The sequence below is a fragment of the Homo sapiens genome, chromosome 11 (assembly GCF_000001405.40).
Source record: "Homo sapiens chromosome 11, GRCh38.p14 Primary Assembly".
In the NCBI taxonomy this organism is placed as follows: domain Eukaryota; kingdom Metazoa; phylum Chordata; class Mammalia; order Primates; family Hominidae; genus Homo; species Homo sapiens.
In genome coordinates, this window is record NC_000011.10 from 109,946,480 (window position 1) to 109,974,109 (window position 27,630).

General features: G+C 41.1%; 1 long non-coding RNA gene across 1 annotated transcript; it reads left to right on the plus strand.

The window, feature by feature from the left end:
* Nucleotides 1-49: 49 nt before the first annotated feature.
* LOC105369484 (uncharacterized) lies at nucleotides 50-26,516 on the plus strand. The gene is made up of 3 exons (XR_948004.2): nucleotides 50-228; nucleotides 25,847-25,926; nucleotides 26,029-26,516. It is a non-coding gene; the product is annotated as an uncharacterized LOC105369484 (long non-coding RNA).
* The last annotated feature ends 1,114 nt before the right edge of the window (nucleotides 26,517-27,630 follow it).

Sequence of the window (27,630 nt, forward strand, 5' to 3'; positions counted from 1 at the left end):
ACGTAATTGGTCATTGACCCAATCATCTCTCCTTCATGACTTGCAAAATATACTCTCCTGGCCTCAGAGTTGTAAGGATGGAAACAAACACTTCTGTTTCTGAACCAGAGTGGGTTCTCAGAGTCTTGGCTTTCTTTCTGCAGCCTGTCTGCCTCCTAAGCAGCTGAGATTGTTTCCCCACTACAGATGAGTGATAAGCTGACTGCACCCTCACGGATAATTCTATCAGTAAGTAGGTCAGAAGGATAACCCCCTTCCCCTCTCTCCCCAAAATATTCATTTCCAAAATACTCACTGAGTGCTGGATTACATAAAATAGGAGCCTGGGGAGGGTATCATCCCAGTCACTTACCATTGGGTCAAGCGGCTGCTTGGACCCTGTGCCAACTAAGACCCTAATCTCAAGTACGTGCAGAGTAGGAAGTAATTTATGAAACTGGCATCCCCAAAGAGTAAGGAAGAGCAAAAGTGAATAAAATTTATTTAGAACAATTAAAATGTTCCGACTGGCTTGTGTGAGCAGTTTGTACTCTCAGGAATTCTCTGCTTTCTTCAGTTCTTCAAAGCTCTGTCCACAAACTTAGAAGAATAAACCAATATTATGGGGGAGAGAGGAGGAGACTTTAAAACACCTACAGATCATGGAAGAGAAAGAGTATCTACCTCTCCTGGAAGTTGCTTTTATTATTATTATTATTATACTTTAAGTTTTAGGGTACATGTGCACAATGTGCAGGTTAGTTACATATGCATACATGTGCCATGCTGGTGTGCTGCACCCATTAACTCGTCATTTAGCATTAGGTATATCTCCTAATGCTATCCCTCCCTCCTCCTCCCACCCCACAACAGGCCCCAGAGTGTGATGTTCCCCTTCCTGTGTCCATGTGTTCTCATTGTTCAATTCCCATCTATGAGTGAGAACATGCGGTGTTTGGTTTTTTGTCCTTGTGATAGTTTACTGAGAATGATGATTTCCAATTTCATCCATGTCCCTACAAAGGACATGAACTCATCATTTTTTATGGCATAGTATTCCATGGTGTATATGTGCCACATTTTCTTAATCCAGTCTATCATTGTTGGACATTTGGGTTGGTTCCAAGTCTTTGCTATTGTGAATAGTGCTGCAATAAACATATGTGTGCGTGTGTCTTTATAGCCGCATGATTTATAGTCCTTTGGGTATATACCCAGTAATGGGATGGCTGGGTCAAATGGTATTTCTAGTTCTAGATCCCTGAGGAATCGCCACACTGACTTCCACAATGGTTGAACTAGTTTACAGTCCCACCAACAGTGTAAAAGTGTTTCTGTTTCTCCAGATCCTCTCCAGCACCTGTTGTTTCCTGACTTTTTAATGATTGCCATTCTAACTGGTGTGAGATGGTATCTCATTGTGGTTTTGATTTGCATTTCTCTGATGGCCAGTGATGGTGAGCATTTTTTCATGTGTTTTTTGGCTGCATAAATGTCTTCTTTTGAGAAGTGTCTGTTCATGTCCTTCGCCCACTTTTTGATGGCATTGTTTGTTCTTTTCTTGTAAATTTGTTTGAGTTCATTGTAGATTCTGGATATTAGCCCTTTGTCAGATGAGTAGATTGCAAAAATTTTCTCCCACTTTGTAGGTTGCCTGTTCACTCTGATGGTAGTTTCTTTTGCTGTGCAGAAGCTCTTTAGTTAATTAGATCCCATTTGTCAATTTTGTCTTTTGTTGCCATCGCTTTTGGTGTTTTAGACATGAAGTCCTTGCCCATGCCTATGTCCTGAATGGTAATGCCTAGGTTTTCTTCTAGGGTTTTTATGGTTTTAGGTCTAACGTTTAAGTCTTTAATCCATCTTGAATTAATTTTTGTATGAGGTGTAAGGAAGGGATCCAGTTTCAGCTTTCTACATATGGCTAGCCAGTTTTCCCAGCACCATTTATTAAATAGGGAATCCTTTCCCCATTGCTTATTTTTCTCAGGTTTGTCAAAGATCAGATAGTTGTAGATATGCGGCGTTATTTCTGAGGGCTCTGTTCTGTTCCATTGATCTATATCTCTGTTTTGGTACCAGTACCATGCTGTTTTGGTTACTGTAGCCTTGAATCTTCAATACATATCAGAAGTTCATAATTCCTTATTTCAAACTCATGTCTTATTCATTCATTCAGCAAAATTAAATACCTTCTACTTACCAAAACTGTTCTAAGTACTAAGAATTATGTATGGACAACAGGCTGTTGAATACAGAATAATTATTGCTTTTTCACAACTTTTTACCTTTTTTAATTAACTGTTTTATTTGAGATCATTGTGGATTCACATTCAGTTGTAAGAAATAATACAGGGATCCCATGTACCCTTTCCCCAGATTCCTCCAGTAGTAGCATCTTGCAAAACTATGGTACAATGGAACAACCAGTATATTGACATTATCCAGTCAAAACAGAGATATCTCCATCAACACAGGGATCTCTTACGGTGCTTTTTTATAGAAACACACATTTCCCTTCCCCTCATCCCATATCTGGGTCTTAACCCCTGGTAACCACTAATCTATTCTCCATTTCTGTAATTTATTGTTTTGAGATTATTCTATAAGTGGAATCTTGCATTATTGGTTTTTTTCACTCAGCGTAATTCTCTAGAGATTCACCCAAGTTTTTGTATGTATCAATAGTCCATTCCCTTTTATTGCTGAGTAATAGTCTAGGGTATGGATGTACCATAGGTTGTTTAACTAATTATCACTGAAGGACACCTAGATTGTTTCTAGTTTTGTGCATTACAAACCAAGAGCTATAAACATTCATGTACAATATTTCGTGTGAATGTAAGTTTTTATTTTTCTGCAATAAATGTCCAAGAGTGTAATTGCTGGGTCATGTAAGTGTTGCATATTTAATATTTTCAGAAATTGCCAAACTGTTTTTTAGAGAGGCTGTACCACTTTTATTCCCACCAGCAATGTATGAATGATCCAGTTTCTCTGCATCCTTGCTAGTTTTTGGTGTTGTCATTACTTTTTATTTTAACCATTCTGGTAGACGTCTAGTGATATCTCATTGTGGTTTTTAATTTGCATTTCCCTGATTGCTAATGATCTTGAACATCTTTTCATGTGCTTAATTGCCATCTGTATATGTTTTTCAGTGAAATATGTCATCATGTTTTTTACTCATTTTCTAATCAGTTGGTTTGGTGCTGGTTTTTTTAAATTCAGTTTTGAGAATTCTGTAGTTCTATCAGTCCATTCTCATGGGTCTTGGGCAGCTCTACCCCATGGCTTTGCAAGGAACAGTTTCCCTCCTGGCTGCTTTCACAGCTGGTATTGAGTGTCTGCGACTTTTCCTGGCACACGGTGCAAACTGTCGGTGGGTCTATTATACCATTCTTGGGTCTGGATGATGGCGGCCCTCTTCTCACAGCTCCACTAGGCACTGCGCAGTGGGGACTTTGTGTGGGAGCTCCAACCTCACATTTCTCTTCCACACTGCCTAGCAGAGGTTCTCCATGAGGTCTCCACCTCTGCAGCAGACTTCTGCCTGGAGATCCAGGCATTTCCATACATCCTCTGAAATCTAGACAGAGGTTCCCAAACGTCAATTCTTGTCTTCTGCACACCCACAGGACCAACACAATGTGGAAGTAGCCAAGGCCTCCTGGGGCTTGCACCCTCTGAAACAACAGCCTGAGCTGTACCTTGGCCCCTTTCATCCATGGCTGAAGCAGCTGGGATGCAGGGCACCAAGTCCAGAGGCTCCACACAGCAGGGGGGGTCCTGTGTGGAGTGGAATGTAATATTTTTGTAGATCCTTTGGGATATTCTACATAGACTCTCAGGTCATTTGCAAATAGGAGCAGTTTTACTTTTTCCATCCTAATCTGTATGGGATTTATTTTCTTTTCATACCTTACTGCGCTATCTAAAATTCCACTACTATGTTGAATAAATGTGAGGAGAGAGAACATCCTCGCCTTGTTCCTGACATAGGGCAAAAACATTCAATTTTTTAGCATTAAATGTAACATTAGCTGTTGGGTTTAAGTAGATATTCTTTATCAAACTGAGGAAGTTTCCCCTCCACTTCTATTTTTCCAAGAGTTTTTAAAATCATGGATTAAATTCAAACTTTGTCACATGATTTTTCTGCATCAATTAATATGATCATGTGGTTTTTCTTCTTTAACCTGTTAACATGTTTGTATTAATTGATTTTGAAATTTTTTTTTTTTTTTTTGAGACAGAGTCTCGCTCTGTTGTCCAGGCTGGAGTGCTGGAGTGCAGTGGCGCGATTTCGGCTCACTGCAAGCTCCACTTACCGGGTTCATGCCATTCTCCTTCCTCAGCCTCCCGAGTAGCTGGGACTACAGGCGCCTGCCACTACGCCCGGCTACTTTTTTGTATTTTTTAGTAGAGACGGGGTTTCACCGTGTTAGCCAGGATGGTCTCGATCTCTTGACCTCGTGATCCACCGGCCTTGGCCTCCCAGAGTGCTGGGATTACAGGCATGAGCCGCCGCGCCCGGCCGATTTTGAAATATTGAACAGCTTTGCATTCCTGGAATAGACTCCATTTGCTCATGATGTATAATTCTTTTTTTATGTAGCTGAATCATATTTTAAGTGTTTTCAGAGAATTTCTGCATCTATATTCATGAAGGATATAGGTCCATAATTTTCTTTGTACTATCTTTGTCTAGTTTGGGTGTCAGGATCATACTAGCTTCACAAATTAATTGAGAAATTTTTTCTTCTCTTTCATATTCTAGAAGAGATTGTTTAAAATTTGTGTTAATCCTTCTTTAAATGTAGGAGACATTACAAATAACTCTATACATATAAATTTGGAAACAGATGAATGGATCAATTTCTTTAATAGCACAACTACACAACTAATCTAATATAAATAATTTGAATAGCCCTATCAATATTAAAGAAATTACATTCATAATTATAAAATACCCCAAAACATAAATCTCCAGGTCCATGGGATGATTCTACCTAATGTTTAAAGAAGAATTAAGGCTGATTCTATACAATCTCTTCAAGAAAAGAGGAGGAAAAACTTTCCAATTCAATTTATGAAGCTAATATTACCCTGTAATACATATTAGGTATTCATCGCCCTTTCATGGCATACAACTCCTAAAATCCTTGGACCCTCCAAAGTGCTGTCTTTTTGTATGTTAATGTTAATTGATAGTTTCAGGATAGGGCTGGTTGTCAGAAAGACACAGCTATGATTAAAGGATTGGGACTTTCAGCCCCAGTCCCCAACATTCGGAAGGGGAGAGGGGTTGAAGGTTAAGTTGATCATCATTGGCCAACGGTTTAATCAATCATGCCTACATAATGAAGTCTCCATAAAAACACCACGAAGGCAGGGTTCAGTGAGCCTCTGAATAGTCTAATACATGGAGGTTTCTGAAGGGTGGTATGCCCAGGGAGAGCATGGAAGCTTCATGCTGCTTCTCATATGCCTTGCCCTATGCATCTCTTCATCTGTATCTTTTGTAGCATCCTTTATAGTAAACCAGCAAATGTGTTTCCCTGAGTTCTGTGAGCCACTCCAACAAATGAATCGAACTCAAAGTGGGGGTTGTGGGAACCCCGACTTGAAGCTGGTAAGTCAGAAGTTCTGGAGGCATGGACTGGTGACTTGTGTCTGGAATGAGAGCAGTCATTATTGCAGTTCATTATGGCTATAAATTTACCACTCATTGTTTTAGCTGTGTCCCACATATTTTGAAATGTTGTATTTTATTTTCACTCAGTTTGTAAAAGGAAAATAAATCTCAGGACCCCAAACTCACTAAGCCAAAGGGAAAAGTCAAGCTGGGAACTGGGTTATGCAAATCTGCCCCCCATTTGGTTCCTGAATAGGATAGCTACAAAGATGAAAAGTTACATACCTCCCTCACCGATTGCCCACAAGGAAATTCCCTGTGGGCCCCAAGATCTTTACCCTAAAACAGTTCTGCTGAATTTCACCCTGGCCATGTAAATTGATAGCTTATTTTCACAGGTGCAGGACAAAGGACAGAACTAAAAGTCATCCCTCTACTCACCTGAAACAAATGTGTATCTGATTGCTTCTTCTACCCTATCCTACTCTATCCTCTACTGCAGATTCTCTGAGCCAGATGAAGGCATAAGTGACTATTCCTCTACTCCCCTGTCACATGTAAATTGTATATTCCATGAAAGGCTGATCAAAGACTCAAAAATGTAACCGTCTGTCTTTTATCTATCCACACCTTTCAAACAGTTTCTACCCCTTTCTCCAATATCTGCTCTTTCCCCTTTAAATATCAAAGCCTTTGGAGAAAGGCACAGACCTGTATCCTGAGCATATATCCTTAACTCTGGCAAATAAACCTCCTACAATGATTGAGACTCACCTCAATCATTTTCATTGATTTATAAGTTCAATATATTTTTAAAAATATATTTATCTTAACACTTTGACGCATTGTCTTAGTCAATTTGGGCTGCAATAACAATTATACTATAGACTGTGTGACTTTAAAAACAAACATTTAATTCTTAGAATTCTGGAAGCTAGGAAGTCCAAGTTCAAGGTGCTGGCAGATCCCACATCTGGTGAGGGCCACCTTCTGGTTTGCAGATGGCAGCCTCCTTGTTGTATTTTCACATGCCAGAGAGCAGAAAGGGAAGCACAAGCTCTCTCCTGTCTCTTCTCCACCCTTATGACCTAATTACCTCCCAAACGCCTCATCTCCAAACATCATCACATTGGTGATTAGGCTTCAATATACAAATCGGGAGTTGAGGGGGAGGCTCACAGACACTCAGTCCACAGCACTCCTGAATTATGTGGAAGTGTGCTAGCTTCCAAGTATTTCAAGACTCACCTGTTATTTTGTTCTGCTACTAATTTTTCATTCTGTTGAGGTCATAGAACACACTTTGTATGATTTCAATCATTTTAAATTTGTCAAGGCTTGTTCTATAACACAGAGTATAATCTATCTTTGCACATGTTCTATGGGACCTATGGGCCCTTGCATAGAAGGTATATTCACTGTTGTTGGGTGGAGTGTTCTATGAAAGTTAAGTTAGATCCTGTTGATTAATGATATCATTGAGTTCTTCTATATCCTTGTAATTTTTGTTAATTCTTGCTACTCATTGTTTCTCTATTCCTAGAAGTCTTAGAATCCCTGGCTTAGAAGCAGGGAAGAAATAGTGAATATTCAGCTTCTTCTTCTTCTTTTTTTTTTTTTTTTTTCTGTTTTTTTGAGATGGTGTCTCCCTCTATCGCCCAGGCTTGAGTGCAGTGGTGCAATCTTTGCTCACTGCAACCTCCACCTCCTTGGTTCAAGTGATTCTCCTGCCTCAGCCTCCCCAGTAGCTGGGACTACAGGTGCACACCACCACACCTGGCTAATTTTTGTATTTTTGTAGAGATGGAGTCTCACCATGTTGTCCAGGCTGGTCTCAAACTCCTGACCTCAAGTGATCCTCCCACCTCAGCCTCCCAAAGTGCTGGGACTACAGGCATGAGCCACCACACCCTGCCCAATCTTCTAACTTCTTAAATTAGCAAATGATGCATATTTCAAAGACAAGAAAGCCAGATCTTTCATTTCTCATTCGCAACAGCCAAATTTCATTAAGAGGAAGCAAAATACTTTCATAGATTTCAAAGAGTTAAACCATAGAGGGTTTGAGTATAGAATGTTTAGTGTAAGACACTGAAAGACAGGCTATGTGATATGATATGGATATTATATCCCACTAAACCAGATAAAGCATTCCTCCCAGACATGAGGGAGGCAGGAAACAGACAGACATAGGTGAGTATCCAACCCCCCAGGATTGAGACCCTTAGTGAAAAGTGTAAACCCCTAGGTAGGTTTGAGGAACTGAGGACAGAAGAGTATGTTTTATGCTAAAAAAAAAAGATTCATTAAAAACAAGCTTGGTGTGTGCCATAAGCCATCATAGGATAGATTCAGGGAACTAGAAATGAAAGTATAGCATACTTCAGTAGAGAGCCTTAGTGTTCCTGGCTTCATAGTAGCTCCTATCCAGCAGTTCCTGCATGCTGCAGGGGGACAGAAAACCAAGAAGGGGAGACAATGAGGAGGACCCAGAGTACAAGGACCTGAAGATCAGACAGCATGGCTACACCTAAGGGCACCAGCAGCAGAGGCTGGTGCAAGTCAGAAGGATGAGCAGGGACCGGCAATACAAGCAGAAAATGACCAGCAGGATGAGATACTCAAGTAGAGGCTAATCCAGGACAGCTCACCACTCCTGCCAAGCTACTGTATAAGCTTCCACTTGTACTCAGAAGCCATAATAAGTGGTATAGACAGGAGACAGGGAAATACTGCACGAAAGAGGGTGGTTCCCCAGCAAAGACCCCACCTTCAAGCAAGCCTGGAAACCCACAGCACTAGATGAAAACAGGCATTCCTGTTTTTGTGCCCAAAAGTTGCCTTTTGGCCCACCATGCACCCCTATCCTGTACATATATAAACCCCAAACTCCAGACTCCACAAGCCAATGAACAGAAGAGCAGAACGGAAGAACAGCATGGCAGAAAGAAAAAAAAAAGGAGTATCTGAATGCCAAGAGAAGATCAGCTGCGAATGGTCGGAGAGGAGAACGGACACCGGCTGCCCAAACTCCAGGGGAAGATCATCTTCTTACTTCATCCCCCTTCCAGCTCCCCATCCACCCCACTGAGAGCCACCTCCACCACTCAACAAAACCCCTGCACACATCCTTCAGGTTTATATATGACCCAATTCTTCCTGGACACCAGACAAAGACCTAGGTACGAAGAGGGCACTGAGCTGGTTAACACTTAAGCCATCCGTGGACAGCAAGGCTAAAAGAGCACACTGTAACACAGGCCCACTTGGGCTTTGGGGGTTGCAGGATCCCACCCACAGACACTGCCATGGGGCCTGGGCCCAGGGGTGCTCGGTCCGGCTCCTGCACCTGCCCATCTGCATGCTCCCCCTCCTGTAAGGAGTTTGAGTATGCACAGTGCCAAACAGACAAGCTACACCCCTGTTGCATGTCCTGCTAGGGGGGGTCAGGGAACGCTCCAGTTTCATCAGCAGTAAAGCAGGACAAAAAGGAGGAGGGAAACATCCAGGAGAGCAGGGGCAAGGAGTTACAGGAGCCCTTGAGAGAAAAGGACACCCCTGACAACCTGAATTTTGAATCAACAAAATTTAAATTCTTGGTAATTACACCGAAAGACTAAATTCTAAACCAGAAGAAAATCAAAGTGACAAGGTTAATTTGTTTATTGTTTGTTTACTTGATTTGATTTATTTTTTTTTCTCTCTCACTGTTATTGAAATAGGGGCTACTTGAATTCAACTGTAGAGGTGTTTAAAAAAAGAATCGTGTTTATATGTGTGAGGTTTGTGGGACCTGCTTAAAGTTTTGGTCCTGGAAGGGTCTTCGAAGGCCATCTAATTCACGTTGTATTGAGAGGAAATAGACGATGAAATAGGAAGCAATTATCTCAGGACTACAAAGCCAGTCACTAAAAGGGCCAAGACAAGATTGCACATTTCCAAAGGCACCCAGACATGTGAGCATTCAAAATCAAGAGCACTTTCACCCATAGTCATTGATGATGAAAAACACAGGTTGAATACATGTGGCTGCTTCTGATTTTTAAGCACACACAAAACTCTTGTACCACTGGAGCGAACCCACCAGCCATCAATGACTGCATGACGCCTTTCCCCCAGTTCTTTGCTCTCAACAGTAATTCCCTTTGCCATAACTTTCTGTTTTCTGCAGTGCCAGCCAGTCGTGACTGGTTGTGGCATCTCTAACAAAAGATACTGGATGTTGTTTTAAAGTCCCATGGTTGCATTTCAGAGCTAAAAATAGGACTATGCTATATCATCTGATATTTTCAGATGATCAGCTACACCACTTCCCTCCTTTCTGAAACTTACAGAGGTAAGTGAATTTTAAAATTTTGTTCTTTGAACAGCTCACTTTAGAGAACAATAGAGCCATTACACAAGCATACTTAATTTCAACTCTATACATTTAGCCCATTTCCCCCAACCCACTTTCCCCTCATTTCATGGGCTACTAAAAATATAGAACTAAATAGTGTGGCCCACCTGGAAATGAGTGTGTACACTGTTTAGCCTGAATGAGTGCTTGTGTGTGTTAAAGGAACAGGCTGCCTTCCAGGTGTCACCTCACATTTGGTTTCATTTTACTTTTCTCTAGTCATATGCCTTTGCCCTGACTTCCATGCCTGTTTTTACATTTTATTTTACAGAAATTATGTATTTCTGTAATGCAGTTTATAAAAATGATAAGAATATTAATCAATGTGCTTACTTTCATCAGCTTCAGTCAAACTTCTATTTACCCATCTTCAAATTATTTGCTCAAATTATATCTACAAGGCAAAAGGAAAGTAAATAAGGAAAGAATCCTGCTACTGAGGATTAAAAGCACCTTTTACATAATAACTAATGAATTTTGCAGACTGGCTGTGAACATGGCTGACAGCATCAAATAGATATGCCAGTGGTGAATTTTTGCTCTGTCCATGTGAATATAACCTTAATTTAAGATCATAATAAAATTTGAAACAGTGAAACAAGAGTGAGATTTAACCTCATTAAGATCAGGGAGCACATCTTCTTTCAATAACTATTTCAAACACGTTTACATATAGACTCACGCAGGCAAAGTAACCACAATTACTGTTTTTAAAGTGAAATACGTTAATATGTTACCTATTCTACAGAAACACGTAAGAACCTTCGGAAGCAAAATAATAACATCATTTGAAATATGAATAGTTACCCGAAAACCTATAGCAATCCAAAGCCAAATTTAAGATGAACAAACTTAAGATGTCCAAAATTTAAGTTGAGACAGCCTTTTGCTCTTGGCAAGCTACAAAATAAATACAAGTTCCCCTCCCTTTATGTCACACACACAATTTAGGGGAGCTCACTTGGACAATATTTGTACTGTGATACATAACGTCATCTAGAATATAAGTCAGAGTACCCAGCTATTTCTCTCTTTTGTGATTATTCACTTTAAAATTACAAGTTCTGATTCATTTTTAGATTTCAAATGATCAAAACTTTTATCTGTTTTTAAAATGCCTATATTCCTTGGTTTTCTCTAATCAAGGAAGTGAATAGGTATCTTAGCAAGAGAGGTCATGGGGAAGATTGCAAGCATTATACTATGCACTGTTGAGTGGGTTCAGAATAGTTTATATTATCATAAAAACAAATTGACATCAATAGCATAATTGCTGCATGAATAATCTTAGAACAAGTGAGACCTTTCAAGGCTTTTTTATTGTAAGCAATCATTATGCTCACCACATAAAACAAATGCCTTCTGGGAACTTTTAAAATAAGACTCAGCTTTTTCTAGCTTGTATTTCTTGGTTTCAACATGAGATATCTAAAAGATGAAAGAAGCTGTTCTGGCTATAGGGATAATACTGTGTGTAGCCATGGGTGATTTATGCAGTAAATTAAGGGAAAAAGTTGCACATGTAATGAGATATTGGTGAGCGAGTTCTCATTACCATCATAATATTTGGCACCAAAATTTAATAACTCCTTTTGCATGTGAATGCAAAAAAAGAGCATTTTAACATTAATTAAAAGCCCATAATCATACTGGATGAAAGAGAGAATGTTAACCCAACTTTACATATGAGATACGGAGTCACGGAGATTAAGAAAATGACCCAGGCAGATTTTTTAAATTATTCATAATGCCACAATATGTCGATGGTGAAAGGGAAATCAGCATAGACTCCCACAACTACCGCTGTTCTCATCATTGCCTTGTATGGAACAGAAGCCTGGTAATTAGGGCTTCTGATTTCTACAGATGTTCCCACTCCCTCTTCTGCCCTGCATTCCCTCAGCGCTAATGAATTCAGTATTAATTTGCAATCGATGATTGAGAAAATAAAAAGCTGTCTTCAATTCCTTTAGGGCAGAAAACAGTTCTTTAATTTTCTCTGAATTTCCCCATATTTCTCTGGTTCAGCTTCATGAAATGTGCAAGCAAAGAGTTCCTAGGTTGAGCAAACTTAAAGGGGTTTCTTTACTCCAAAAATTCTCGGAGCCTTGACTATACCGATGTACATTGCAAAGCTCCAAGAAAGAAATATTACTTGCAGATTTATGTGACCACAGAATCTGCGTTTCATGGATGTGGTAGGCAGAATAATGGCCTCCCAGAGATGTCCATTTCCTAATCCCTGGAAATTTACAAGGCAAAGGGGATGGAACTTTACAAGGCAAAGGGGAATTACAGTAGCAAATGGAATAAAGGTTGTTAATCAGCCAATCTTAAAATAGTGAGGTTATCCTGGATTATCTGTGTGAATCCAATATAATCACAAAGGTCCTTAAAACTAGAACCGGAAGGCAGAAGACAGTGTCAGAGTGATTTAGCATGAGAAACACTTGACCAGTCATTGCTGGCTCTGAAGATGTCAGGAGGCAGAGGAGTATGGGAAGCTCCAGCCTCCAGAAGGAATGCAGCACTGCTGATACTTTTATTTTAACCCAGTGAGACCTCTTTCAGATTTTTACCTCCAGAACTGTAAGATAATAAATTCGTGTTGTATTAAGCCACCAAGTTTGTTGTAATTTATGACAGCAGCCATAAGAAACTAATACAGTGGGGCCCATTAATGTCTTACTAATACCTCCCAGAATTATAGTTCTGTGTTACAATTTTTAGAGAAATGCTATTCAACCTGTAACAGGGGCCCACATCAGACTGTCAATCAATAAATATTATAGACTGAATAATTCATTTTTTTTGTATGAGAATTGTTAGTATTTGGTCATTAAGCCAGCCCATCTGTTAGCCTATTTCACTATCTTTGCATTTTATAACAACAATTTCTACCAGCCATTTTGAATCATGAAGCAAAAATGCATTTACTTTAAATGATGCTAAAATAAACGGTATGGAATAGATTCAGTGCATCTCAAATTTTAATGTGCATGCAAACCACCTGGAGAATCCTCTTAAAATGCAGATTCTGATTCCGTAGCTCTGGCATGAGAACTGAGAGTGTGCATTTCTAACACGCTCCCAGGTGACACCAATGCTGGTGATCTGTGGACCAAACTTTAAATAGCAAAGAACAAAAGAGGACAACCCCTGTCATACCCTCTATTCCCTGCCATAGAAACCTTTCTGTTCTCCCTGTAGTCCCAGCTACACGGGAGGCTGAGGCAGGAGAATGGCATGAACCCAGGAGGTGGAGCTTGCAGTGAGCCGAGATAGTGCCACTGCACTCCAGCCTGGGTGACAGAGCGAGACTCTGTCTCAAAAAAAAAAAAAAAAAAAGACTTTTCTGATCTCCCAGGTGGAATTAGGCAAATCCTCCTTGCTCTGCTTTTAGGACCATTACTGATCCCAAACAGAAAATATTCAAGGAATTTTAGTTTAATACTTAGAAGACTCAGCTTCTAGTTAATACAGTATATTTGTAAATTATAAAATAAATATAGTCTCATGAAAGACAATTCATAAAATAGAAGAAAGAGTAATTTTAATCATCCACAGTCTCAGCACCCAAAGATATGCCTTATTAACATTCCAATGTCTTTCCTTCAAGACTTCTTTCTCTACAGAGATTCTGTTTTACATATTTGACATCATATTGCATATCTCAATTTTTTAATCAAACATCATGTATGCACATATATACATATAAAGTGGTGACAGATTGAATTATTGGTCTCAATTCTTCACTCCTCTCTAATAGAATTATATATCCACACTCTTGCCACTCTGGGGAAGAGCATCCCAATTTTTCTCCCTTCTAATAGAAATATGTCTTTACTTTCGCCAGGCTGGTGAGCAGAGAGTTATTCCCAACACCTTGACTTTGGGATTAATCAAGTGATTTACATTGGCCAAAGGGTTATTAGTGGACAAATATTTTTTAATGTAGGTTTTATTATTTAAGATATGGCAAAGCCAACAGATCAGGAGACAGCTACCACTGTAAACATAGTTTGTTACACTCAACAGACCCCAAGACAAAAGGGCATGCCACACCATAATGCAGGGCCACATGGGGAAGCACCAGGGTCAGTCAAGGGCAGAGGAAGCAGGGAGAAGATTTTATTGTCATTTCTGCGGGAAAAATAATGGGCAAGGCAGGGTAAGCAGGTTTAGGATTGGCCACTTTGAATAATTTCAGTGGACTCTATGGTACAGTTGTCTGGTATTTGGTCCTGGAGTATCGGCCCAGAATGTAAGAGTTCATTAATGGAGGTGTTGGGGGGTATGAGCTCTGGAGTAGTTGGTTTGTGTATGAAAGGTGCACTCTTAGGCCAGTAGTTTGCTATCTCTAGGAATTAGCTAACCCTGGGAGAAGTAGTCACTCCAGGGTCAGCAAGGCCCCAAGATGTCAAAGCATCAACAAAAACAGAGTATAAAGACATGATTACCACAGCATGATGCAAACAAGGGCTTGGAATGTGCTGATGTGGTTGGGCTTGTTCTCTTGCAATGTGATTGTCTGCAATGAGAAAAGCTCATGCAGCCAGGGTTGCAGAACAACCACACAGGGAGCAGGCCTGGACCCAACTCAAGGTCAGGAGCTAAGCCCAGCTGACTCCCAGCCAGCAGCGGAGGCAAACCCCGGCCAGTCCACATAAGCCAGAAACTAATGCTTACTGCTGCCTGCCTCTGAGATTTTGTGGTTGTTTGTTATAGAGCATTATGGTGGCAATAGCTGAATATGTTGGAAGTGGGGTCCTGCCATAACAAATCCCAAAATATGTGCCATCAGCTTTAGGACTGGAAATTAGACAAGAAGAATATTGTTCTAAAAGCCTGGAAAAAATGGTGGTCCATGTTATATAGTAGTGAAAGTAAAGCATTTGTTTTAACTGTTACTTTCAATAAACCAAAAGACAGACAATGGACCTGATAAAGTTGGGATGATGACCAAGCAAGTTTCAATTCGCAATGCTGATAGGGTAAGCGGGTTGTTGAATTGCATTTGAAAAGTTATGATAAGAGATGGGTTCTGTAATGGTTAATATTGAGTATCAACTTGATTGGATTCAAGGATGCAAAGTATTGTTCCTGGGTGTGTCTGTGAGGTTGTTGCCAAAGGAGATTAACATTTGAGTCAGTGGACTGGGAGAGGCAGACCCACTCTCAATCTGGGTGGTCACCATCTAATCAGCTGCCAACATGGCTAGAATAAAGCAGGCAGAAGAAGTTGGAAAGACGAGATTCACTGAGTCTTCTGGTCTTCATCTTTCTTCCATGCTGGAGACTTCCTGCCCTCAACTATCAGACTCAAAGTTATTCAGCTTTTAGACTCTCAGGTTTGCACCAGTGGTTTATCAGGGGCTCTCAAGCCATTGGCCACATACTGAAGGCTGCACTGTCAGCTTTCCTACTTTTGAGGTTTTGGGACTCAGACTGGCTTCCTTGCTCCTCAGCTTGCAGTTGGCCTATTGTTGGACTTCACCTTGTGATTGTGTGAGTCAATACTCCTTAATAAACTCCCCTTCATGTATACATTTATCCTATTAGTTCTGTCCCTCTAGAAGACCCTGATTAATCCAGGTTTTGGTACCAGGAGCAGTTCTAGAGGAAGAGAATTTTAAGGATGGATTTCTTTAGTTGGTTTTGGGGTTTCTGGAGTTGGCTACTTAATATGATGAGACTCAAAAATGTTAAGGACTCTACTTCTAACAGTCTGGAGAACACCGATGGTCCTTGGAGTGAACTGTTTAGAGAGTTATGCAAACTAAATGCATTTGATACTCCTGATTAATCGCTCATGAGAGGCAAGGAGTTTAGTGACTCTATACATAATACCTTTGACCATATGTGGAGAATCAAGAAATATAATGAAGTTGGTTGGTTGCTCTTAAGTTCACTGGACAAAGTGATGAAAGGAAAGGATGAGCTCAGGGATTCTAACTTCCAGCTCTAGAAGCACATACTGAGCCTCAAGTCTTCTAAGTTTGCCCCAAGTGAGACTCTTATCTCCTATAGACAAAGGACTGAAATTGCAGAAAATCAGACACAAGCTCTTATAATGAGAATGGCTAACCTGCAAGGAAAGGTGCATGCTCAGCCTCATCAGATGTCTACTGTTAAAGTGAGAGCATTGACTGGAAAAGAATAGGACTCTGCAACTTGGAATGGAGATGTGTAAGAGGACCCTCACTACACTGAGCTTGTAAACTCTGATGAGTTTTTTTTGCCAGAGGAAACAGCCTCCCCACCCTCAGTGGTGGCAACATCCCCTCCCCCACCAACATGGCCATCAACCTTTCCACCTTTATCTGAGGAGTTAAACCCTGCACTGACTGAGCCAACAGTGATGGCCTCCTCTGAGGCAGTTACCAGGCAAGACAATGCTGATTCTCCTCAGGACCCACCCCCAACACCCCTGTTTGCTTCTAGACCAATAAGTAGACTCAAGTCCCCGCAGACCCCTAGAGGCGAGGTTCAGAGTGTGACCTATGGGGAGGTGCACTACACTCCAAAAGAACTGCTTGAGTCTTTTAATTTATATAAGCAGAAATCTGGAGAATAGGCAAGGGAATGAACATTAAGGGTATGGGATAATGGTGGAAGGAACATAGAGTTGGATCAGGCTGAATTTATTGATATGGGCCCACTAAGAAGGGATCCTGCATTTAATGTTGCAGCTTAGGGAGTTTAAAAAGGTTCTAATAGTTTATTTGCTTGGTTAGCTGAAATATAGATTAACAGATGGCCCACTGTGAGTGAGCTGGAAATGCTTGATCTCCCCTGGTTTAATGTAGTGGAAGGGATCAAAAGGCTTAGGGAGATTGGAATACTAGAGTGGATTAGTCACTTTAGACCTACTCATTCCAGCTGGGAGGGTCCAGAAGACATACCCTTCACCAATACTTTCCAAAATAGATCTATGAGGGGAGAACCTATATCCTTGAAGAGCTTTGTGATTGCTCTTCTCCGTATGCCAGATCTTACAGTGAGAACCACAGTCACTTAATTAGAAAATTTAAATGCAATGAGAGTAATTGGATCTCAAGGTGGCAGTGGCCAAGTGGCAGCCCTCAACCGTCAAAAGCAAGGTGGGCATAGTTACTGTAATGGACAGCAGGGGCAAAGCAGCAATCAGAATAGTCTGACTCCAGTAGAGCTCTGGCATTAGCTAATTAATCACAGTGCTTCTAGAAGTGAAATTGATAGGAAGCCTACTGCATTCTTACTTGATTTGTATAAGCAGAAAACTTCCACATCAAGTGGACAAGACTAATTTCAATTATAAAAATAGAGAATCATGGCCCTTCAGTCAGTTTCCAGACTTGAGCCAGTTTACAGACCCAGAACCCCTTGAATGAAGGGGAGGCCAGGTTCCCTTGAGAAAGGACCCCACTACACTACCAACAATTTATGCTGCTAATCTTTCTCCCATCTTTCCCCAAGGAGACCTCCAGCCTTTTACCAGAGTAATTGTGTACTGGGGAAAGGGGAATGATCAGACTTTTGGGGGACTACTAGACACTGACTCTGAGCTGATGTTGATTCTAACTGACCCAAAATGTTATTGTTGTCCCCCAGTTAAAGTATGGGCTCATGGAGGTCAGGTAATTAATGGTGTTTTAGCTCAGGTCCAACTTACAATGGGTCTAGTGGGTCCCTGGGCTCATCCTGTTGTTTTCCCAGTGCCAGAATGCATAATTGGCATAGACATACTTAGCCACTGGCAGAACCCCCACATTGGCTCCCTGACAGGTAGGGAGAGGGCCATTACAGTGGGAAAGACCAAATGGAAGCCATTAGAACTGCCTCTACCTAGAAAAACAGTAAACCAAATCCAATATCGCATCCCTGGAGGGATTGCAGAGATTAACACCAGCATCAAGGACTTGAAAGATGCAGGGGAGGTGATTCCGATTCCCACCACATTCCCATTCAACTCTCCCATTTGGCCTGTGCAGAAGACAGATGGATCTTGGAGAATGGCAGTGGATTATTATAAGTTTAACCTAGTAGTGACTCCAATTGCAGCTGCTGTAACAGATGTGGTTTCATTGCTTGAATGAATTAACACATCTCCTGGTACCTGGTATGCAATCATTGATTTGGCAATTGCCTTTTTCTCCATTCCTGTCCATAAGGCCCACCAGAAGCAATTTGCCTTCATCTGGCAAGACCAGCAATACACTTTCACTATCTTACCTCAGGGGTATATCAACTCTCCAGCTTTGTGTCATAATCTTGTTCACAGAGATCTTGATCACTTTTTCCTTTCACAGAATATCACACTGGCCCATTATATTGATGACATTAGGCTGACTGGATCCAGTGAGCGAGACGTAGCAAACACATTGGACTTATTGGTGAGACATTTGCATGCCACGTGATGGGAAATAAATCCAACTAAAATTCAGAGACCTTTTACCTCAGTAAAATTTCTAGGGCTCCAGTGGTGTGTGGCCTATATCTTTATATATCTTTATATCCTTCTAAGGTGAAAGATAAGTTGCTTCATTTGGCCCCTCCTACAACCAAGAAAGAGGCACAACACCTAGTGGGCCTATTTGGATTCTGGAGGCAAAATATTCTTCATCTGGGTGTGTTACTCTGGCCCATTTATCAAGTGACCCAAAAGCCTGCTGATTTTGAATGGAGTCCAGAACAGGAGAAGGCTCTGCTGCAGGTCCAGGCTGCTGTGTAAGTGCTGGGGCCATATGACCCAGCAGATTCAATGGTGCTTGAGGTGTCAGTGGCAGATAGGGATGCTGTTTGGAGCCGTTGGCAGGCCCCCATAGGTGAATCAGAGCAGAGGCCTCTAGGATTTTGGAGCAAGGCCCTGCCATCTTCCACAGATAACTACTCTTCTTTTGAGAGACAGCTCTTGGCCTGTTACCAGGCTTTGGTGGAAACTGAATGTTTGACTACGGGTCATCAAGTCACCATGCAACCTGAACTGCCTATCATGAACTGGTTGCTTTCTGACCCATCTAGCCATAAAGTGGGTCATGCAGAGCAGCATTCCATCATTAAATGGAAGTGGTATGTATGTGATGGAGCTCAGGCTGTTCCTGAGGGCACAAGTAAGTTACATGAGAAAGTGGCTCAAATGCCCATGATCTCCACTTCTGTCACCCTGCCTTCTCTCCCTCAGCCTGCACCAATGACCTCATGAGGAGTTCCCTATGATGAGTTGACAGAGGAAGAGAAGACTAGGGCCTGGTTCACAGATGGTTCTGCATGATATGCAGGCACCACCTGAAAGTGGACAGCTGCACCACTACAGCCCCTTTCTAGGACATCCCTGAAGGACAGCGGTGAAGGGAAATCTTCCCAGTGAGCAGAACTTCAAGCAGTGCATCTGGCCGTGCACTTTGCTTGGAAGAAAAAATGGCCAGATGTGCGATTACATACTGATTTATGGGCTGTAGCCAATGGTTTGGCTGGATGGTCAGGGACTTGGAAGAAGCATGATTGGAAAATTGGTGACAAGGAAATTTGGGGAAGAGGTATATGGATGGACTTCTCTGAGTGGTAAAAAACTGTGAAGCTATTTGTATCTCATGTGAAGGTTCACTAAAGGGTGACCTCAGTAATCAAGTGGATAGGATGACTCATTCTGTGGATAACACTCAGCCTCTTTCCCCAGCCACCCCTCTCATCACCGAATGGGCCCATGAACAAAGTGGCCATGGTGGCAGGGACAGAGGTTATGCATGGGCTCAGCAACATGAACTTTCACTCGCCAAGGCTGACCTGGCTACAGCCACTGCTGAGTGCCCAATTTGCCAGCAGCAGAGACCAACACTGAGCTCTTGATATGGCACCATTCCTCAATCAGCCAGCTACTTGGTGACAGGCTGATTATATTGGAGCTCTTGCATCATGGAAAGAGCAATGGTTTGTTCTCACCAGAACAGATACTTACTCCAGATATGGGTGTGCCTATCCTGCACACAATGCTTCTGTCAAGACTACCATCTGTGGACTCATGGAATGCCTTATCCACTGTCATGGTATTCCACACAGCATTGCCTCTGACCAAGGCACTCACTTTACAACCAAAGAAGTGCAGCAATGGGCTCATGCTCATGGAATTCACTGGTCTTACCATGTTCCCCATCATCCTGAAGCAGCCGGATTGATAGGACGGTGGAATGGCCTTTTGAAGTCAAAATGACACCACCAACTAGGTGATAGCACTTTGCAGGGCTGGGGCAAAGTTCTCCAGAAGGTTGTGTATGCTTTGAATCAGCATCCAATATATGGTACTGTTTCCCTCAGAGCCAGTATTCATGGGTCCAGGAATCAAGGGATGGAAATGGAAGTGGCACCGCTCACCATCATCCCTAGTGACCCCCCAGCAAAATTTTTGCTTCCTGTTCCTGTGACATTACGTTCTGCTGGTCTAGAGGTCTTAGTTCCAGAGGGAGGAATGCTGCCACCAGGAGACTCAACAATGATCCCATTAAACTGGAAGTTACGATTGCCACCTGGACACTTTGGGCTCCTCCTACCTCTAAGTCAACAGGCTAAGTAAGGAGTTACATTGTTGGCTGGGGTGATTGATCTGGTCTGTCAAGATGAAATCAGTCTACACAGGAGATCTCTTAGGGCGTCTCTTATATCATACCCTGTGATTAAGGTCAATGGGAAACTAAAACAACCCAATCCAGGCAGGACTACAGATGACCCAGACCCTTCAGGAATGAAGGTCTGGGTCACTCCACCAGGTAAAAATTCACCACCCACTGAGGTGCTTGCTGAAGGCAAAGGGAATACAGAATGGTTAGTAGAAGGTAGTCACCAATACCAGCTACAACCACATGACCAGCTGCAGAAACGAGAACTGTAATTGTCATGAGTATTTCCCCTTATTTTGTTAAGAACATGTTTGTGCATGTGTACACTTATACTAAGGAAATATCTTCATTTTATTTCTTTTCTTTTTCCTTTATCATATGACATAAGATTTATTGACTTTATATCAGCATTTAAGTGTTGTTAACTTTATGTAATAGCACTTAGGTTAAGGATTAGTGCACTTCCATTTGTACAAAGAATAGTTGTATTATGTTAGGCATAATTATGACCTTTTATTGATTGTCTTTATTTGAAGATTATGTATGATTTCAGGAGATGCGTACGGGTTCAAGTTGACAAAGGGTGGACTTGTGATTGTTAATACTGAATGTCAACTTGATTGGATTGAAGGATGCAAAGTATCGTTCCCGAGTGTGTCTGTCAGGGTGTTGCCAAAGGAGATTAACATTTGAGTTAGTGGACTGGGAGAGGCAGACCCACTCTCAATCCAGGTGGGCACCATCTAATCAGCTGCCAACATGGCTAGAATAAAGCAGGCAGAAGAAGTTGGAAGGACTTGACTCATTGAGTCTTCCGGCCTTCATCTTTCTTCCTTGCTTCTTTCATCCTCAACTATCTTTGCTTCCTTTCTTCCTGCCCTCAACTATCAGACTCCAAGTTATTCAGCTTTTGGACTCTTAGATTTACACCAGTGATTTGCCAGGGGTCCTGGAGCCTTCAGCAACAGACTGAAGGCTGCACTCTTGGCTTCCCTACTTCTGAGGTTTTAGGACTCAGACTGGCTTCCTTGCTCCTCAGCTTGCAGATGGCCTATTGTGGGACTTCATCTTGTGTTTGTGTGAGTCAATACTTCTTTATAAAAGTCCTTTCATATACACATCTATCCTATTAGTTCTGTCCCTCTAGAGAACCCTGACTAATACAGGTTCCAAGGAAAGCATGGCTACCTTGCAACAGAATTGAGAGTACATAAACATGGCCCAGAAATCCTGCATTTATAGGGAATAAAAAAATAAACCTATATTGAGAAAATTTCTGTTAACATGAACTAAAAGCGATTGTGACTTTTTGAGATATAAAACTGCCTCTAGTCTCCTCCTACCCCAACCTTCCACAGGGAGGGTGCAGGCTGAGAGGGTGACTCAGACACCAAATACGGCATATTCTCCAATGCCCACTTTAGAAGTGACCAAGGGGGATTTTGGCAAGGGACTTCCCAAAGAGTGGAGCCAAAAACCATAGAGAAATAATGAACTGAGGTTTGGGGAGCTATGCCCAGGGAGCAGTAATGGGGTCTAAGCCAGTAAGAATATTCCCTTCTCCCAAGGTAGGGGAACCTGGCAACATTGATCAACGAGGATTTCACAATGGCTATAAACCATGACCGCTATGTGCATCTCACTCTTCTCCTACTAGAAGACACCAGCAGGGGATGAGATTTGGAAGGATCTTGAGATGGACGCAAGCACCTGTGGGAGGGATGTGAAGAAAGGCAATGGAAAGCAGACTGGGGTTAATTGAATTATTTGTGCCTGTTCTTTTTTTCCCTCAAAAGAGAATTAGACATAACTCATTCTTGCCATCTTCTCAAGGCAAGCAGAGGATACTTCCCCATCCCTCACTTTAGGCTGGGCCATGTGACTTGCTTTGGCCAATCAGAAGTTGGTAGACATGAAGCAAGCGGATGTGCTGTGTGGTTGCACTCATCCTCTTGCCCCCTAGGAGACTCCCATGAGAAGAGCTTCCCCCTGGTAGCAGATACCCCTTCAACCTGGGCTCCAAAATGAATACAGAGCAACATACCTGAGCCCAGACCTGCAACCTGCAGCCAAGGCCGGTTTACCTGAAGCCAAAAGCAGAGTCTCATTCCAGCTAACCCGCAAACATAAGCAAAATAAGTAAATGTTTGTTGTTTTCGGCCAGACAGATTTAATGTTTGTTATGCGGCTTTATTGTGGCAATAGCAGACTAAGATATGTATTTTCCCATGTCATTTCATATTCTTTAAAAAGCACTCTTACAAATACATTGATTCCATTGAAAAATTTCATTTAGTTAACTATTTCCTGATTCTGAAATATTAGGGTTTTTACTAAATCTGTTTTTTTGCCTCTATTTTTTGCTTCTTATAACAATGCTATTAATAACATATTAATCCATAATTTTTCCATACTTTGATTTATTTTCATAGGGTTAAAACTGGATAATAACATCTACTTCCCAGAGCTGTTGTGATGGTTAAAAGACTTAAAATAATTAAACGCTAAACATATCATCTTTCATGTAATAAGCATTCAGTAATGATTGCTATTGTTTTTTGTTATAGAGTTCCAAAAGTAAGAAAAACAATTCCAAGCTCTTGATATGAAATATAAAACTATTTTCCAATAGTTATACCAATTTATACTGCTAACAGCATCATGTGAGTTTTAGCATACCTTCAAACAACTCCATTTTTTTAACCTTGGCTATTTTGACAGTTGAGAAATAATATCTTGCTGATATTTTAATTTTTATAGCTTTTATTACAAGTGAGGTGGAAATTATTTTATAAACTGTCTAACCATTTATACTTTCTCTTCTGCAAATTACCAGTTAACACGTCCATTTAATATGCCCATTTCCATCCAGTCATGATGTTGGTCTTCCTCTGACCTGATAGACTTACCTGGTGCCAAAGAACTGATTGATTTCTGTGCTTTTCAATATGATAGCCACCTGTGGCCACTGGGCACTGTGCCACAAGTTATAATATTTTGGATATAGTGAGTTTAATGAAATATATTATTAGAATTTATTGTATATGTTTCTTTTTACTTTTTAAAATATAGCTACTAGAAAATTTTAAACTACATATTTCTATTGGACAGAGCTACTTAGACCTTTGAATATCACTTGCTCTGAAATTCTTCTTGGTCAAAACTCTCATTGCCCACACCCTTATGTTGGGTTCTCCTGCTATTACATGGTCTATCAGCCATAGTCTGTTGTTAACCTTCTAGATAATGCTGTGTTGAGTCCAATCCCTCTCCTCGAAATCCCTGCTGCATTTCATTCTCCGAGTCTCACCTCCTCCTAATTCAGTTCCATCCTCCTGTGATTAATCCTCCCAAGTCTCAACACATCTCAATTAGGTTCTATTACAGATTCCTGGATGAAATGGCAAACTTGATTAGGATTTTTAAATCCTATAATGTGTGTTAAATAGATTATACTCACTGCTATCTATGTTTATATTCCATTTATTCTATTTCTAGCAATAAAACATGGCTTTTCAAATGCTGAGTATTTTTTATTTGAAAGTGCCATTGAAAGGTTACAAACATACAAAGCTAATAAACAATTGCATATGTTTTTCAAATTCCCCTACCTCTGCCCACACCTTCAAACGTAACCACTGTGAATCCTCTCAAAACCACAGTTGGTGAAGACAGCCAAAGGTTATATCTGTAGCCACGAACCCTCAAAAGTTTCCTAACACCAACTCCAGCTGACTAAAATGTCACAGACATTTACTTATAATCCCTGGGGTTTTTGAATCTATAAGGCAGCATGGGTATGGGTTAACTTACCTGGCCACAGTAGAATTTTTTAAAGCCCTTTATGAAGGATTCAAGAAAAAGAAGTCTGTAACGCTGATGCAAAGTAGAATTCTTAATGTATTGAAAGGGATTATCATATGTCACGTGGAAATTCAACCTCGTTTTTTAGATCCACAGCTCTTTCCTTGTTGCCTAAATTCGTAATCGTGAGGCTCATTTGCCTTAGAGAAGTATCTGCAGCACATTTTTAATGCCAGACCTGCTCCTTCCGCCGTTCTTGCCCCTTTCCAGCAAGCTATTTCCCACCTCCCCCAACATCCCCATGGCTGCCCAGGAATTAAAACCAATTTGAATATGTAATCATGTGGAATAATAAGCACAAGTGTACTCTCTGGGGTGCTCTCTGGCTGCTACTCATCTCCTTGCAACTAGTTTCCTAAGTGCCTTTGAGAGATGCTGAGAACGCCATGTTGACGGTTAACCTTTTAACAGTTTTGCCATTCTCTGTTCACTCTGGCTACAAGCCCAGCTCTAAAGGAGGCACAGGAAGTGGGGTGAAGGAAGGGTTTCCTTCCTTCTAAGACTCACTGGAGAAACATTCTCCATAGCCTGAGGAAGAGAGTTGAGCAGGCTTTGAATAGTGTATTTTTAAAACATTCATTATTCTGACAATGGAGTTTCATGAAACTAGCTTTTATTCCTTTTATGCAAGTCAAACAGAGATTGCCCAAAACATATTACCATGCCAGGAAGTAAATAACTATTGCCTTGTTTTATGAATATGAGAAATTTCTGTGAAGATGCCTAAATATTTTGATTAATTTAAAAGCAGATGAGCTGATGTGTAGGTATTTACAACATCAAAGTACTTTTCTGATTGACTCAGTTTCAAAAATGCAATATAAAAGGTAGAGCATTCATCTTAAATAGCAATTTAGAAGTGGATGCTTTGGGTATTCTGAGGCATTCAAAATCTGATTATTTTGATACTGATACTGCTATTTTGATGCAAACACTGCAGTGATCAATTTGGTGGATGTGAGGGGAGGGCCTCACTCGGTATCTAGTATTCCTTATTAAAATGTAAAAGCACCCACTGTACCTCTTGAATATATAAGAATAATGAGCCATACCAGTAAATATCTGAATTGCAATCAGTGTTGTTTTGCCTGTATCGTCTCATTTCATCTTCAAAGCATGTGTCTGGGAGATAGATATTATTAGGAGTAATCACTGATGTTGCTGAGATTGAGACTTCCTTCGCAGTTGGTTATAAAGATCTAAGAATAAATCATCTTTCTTGAACTCGAGCATATCCATTAAGGTCAGAATTTCTGCAGATTGAGCTGGAGCTATTTTTAGGTACGGTTCTAAAGCAGCTGCAATTCAAGTGTCACAGTGCATGCCTTTTTGGCTCAGCAGTTGATAGTTCTGCTTCGTGCTACTCTCCTTCCCCAGACTCCTGGGACCATCGCATAGAGGGTGCTTGAGACATGCTGCACTGGACGATGCACACACCCCATCTCTCCAACATGACTGTAAGCCCCTTTAGTTTTACAATATGCAAAACCTTAGCACAGAGCTCTACGCAATTAATATTGACCAATGTTCATTGATAATAATGTTCTATAAAATTTCAGAGGCCACCAGGATGCATCACAGTCCTGACCCCAATGCAGGAGACTGAAAGTCACCAAGGACTGAGACATGCTGTCGAGCCACAATCAGAAGAGAAACTGGAGTTGAAGAAGAGCCAGGTCTGGCCACACAGAGAAGTGAAAACCTCCATTTAATGGTCAGAGGCAAAGTACAAAGTTAGGCATCAGAGAAGTGTTCCGTTTTGGTCACTATTATTTCTTAAGAATCTTTCTGAACACTCCAGAACTAAAGGACTAGAAGTCCAGGGCCCTTGCTCTCAGTGTCTGATTAGCTGCTGTCATCTGCCTCGAAAGCTGCCCCATGGTTTTTTCCATCCTTGCTAGCAGCACAAACCAACTGGTTTAGCCTAACATTGATAAAACTACAGAATCTCAGATTTGGAAGGATGCTTTTAAAGCAAATAGCCAAGCTCCTAGCTAATTTTCTAATTTTGTTGCTACAAGAATAAAGAATTTAATGTGGGTGTGGAGGGAGAGTTATTTGAGTCCATTTTTCTTCTGGTCTTTCCCCTTTTCCAAGTATATAGGCAATCCTGCACTCATTGCCTCAGGGAGGGGAGGCAATTAGTCAGAAGATATAAATAGCCAATTGGCACTTTTTGTCTCTGTGTTTTAAAAGAGGGAACTTAGAATTTTGGGGATGATGTCAAGATCAAATGTGTGGGAGAAACAGAGGTCAAAGAGCATTGACTTCCTCCACCCACCACCTAGAATAGGATTCTCTGAGGTCTGAGGCATGGAGAGTGAAGAGCAGATAATGATGAGAACAGACAGAATGAGGGGTTCAAGAGCCAGGTTCCCTTCTTTCTGGGCAGTAGGTAGCAATACCCCAAAGCAGGAGGTAGCAATACCCCAAAGAGGAGATGGCTTCGTGCAGGGTCTAGGCACACCAGTTCATTGCCTCTTAAAGATTTCTGGTGTGAACCTGGGAGGCGAAGCTTGCAGTGAGCCGAGATCGCGACGCTGCACTCCTGCCTGGGCGACAGAGCAAGACTCCGGCTCAAAAACAAACAAACAAACAAACAAACAAAAACCAAACAAGATTTCTGGCCCTCAAGCTATGCAGCAAAATATCTCTGTGAGCCTCCAGTTCTAAAAGGCCATGCTGCAAGCCAAATACTCTCTCAGGGTAACTCAATGGGAACAGATGGCTCAGGGACCAGAAGGCTCACCCTCCCTCAATGTACTGCTAAAGGCACTAAGTAAATCCCAACAGGGTCTTTGTCTCAACCCCCGGGAAGAAGAGAGAAACCAATAATAATCGGAGAGTGTTACCCTTAGCCTGCTAGTACAAAGATAAAACATCAAATTGAGTTAGAGGAAATGTTATTTTTCTAGATCAATGCAGTCTATGGACTGAGATTCATAGATCTACTATACACATAAACACATGTAAAACTACTTAACACATAAAATGTTACCTATATTATTAGCAATGTAATATTATCAGTGAGTTGAAAGTCAGCTACAAAATCTGAATGTCAATTGACCTCCACGTGGTTATCTTATGTCCAGATGGAAAAACGTTGGTTCAACTCATTGTCTTTTTAAAATCCATTCTTAAAAGAGAAAATATTAATTAAA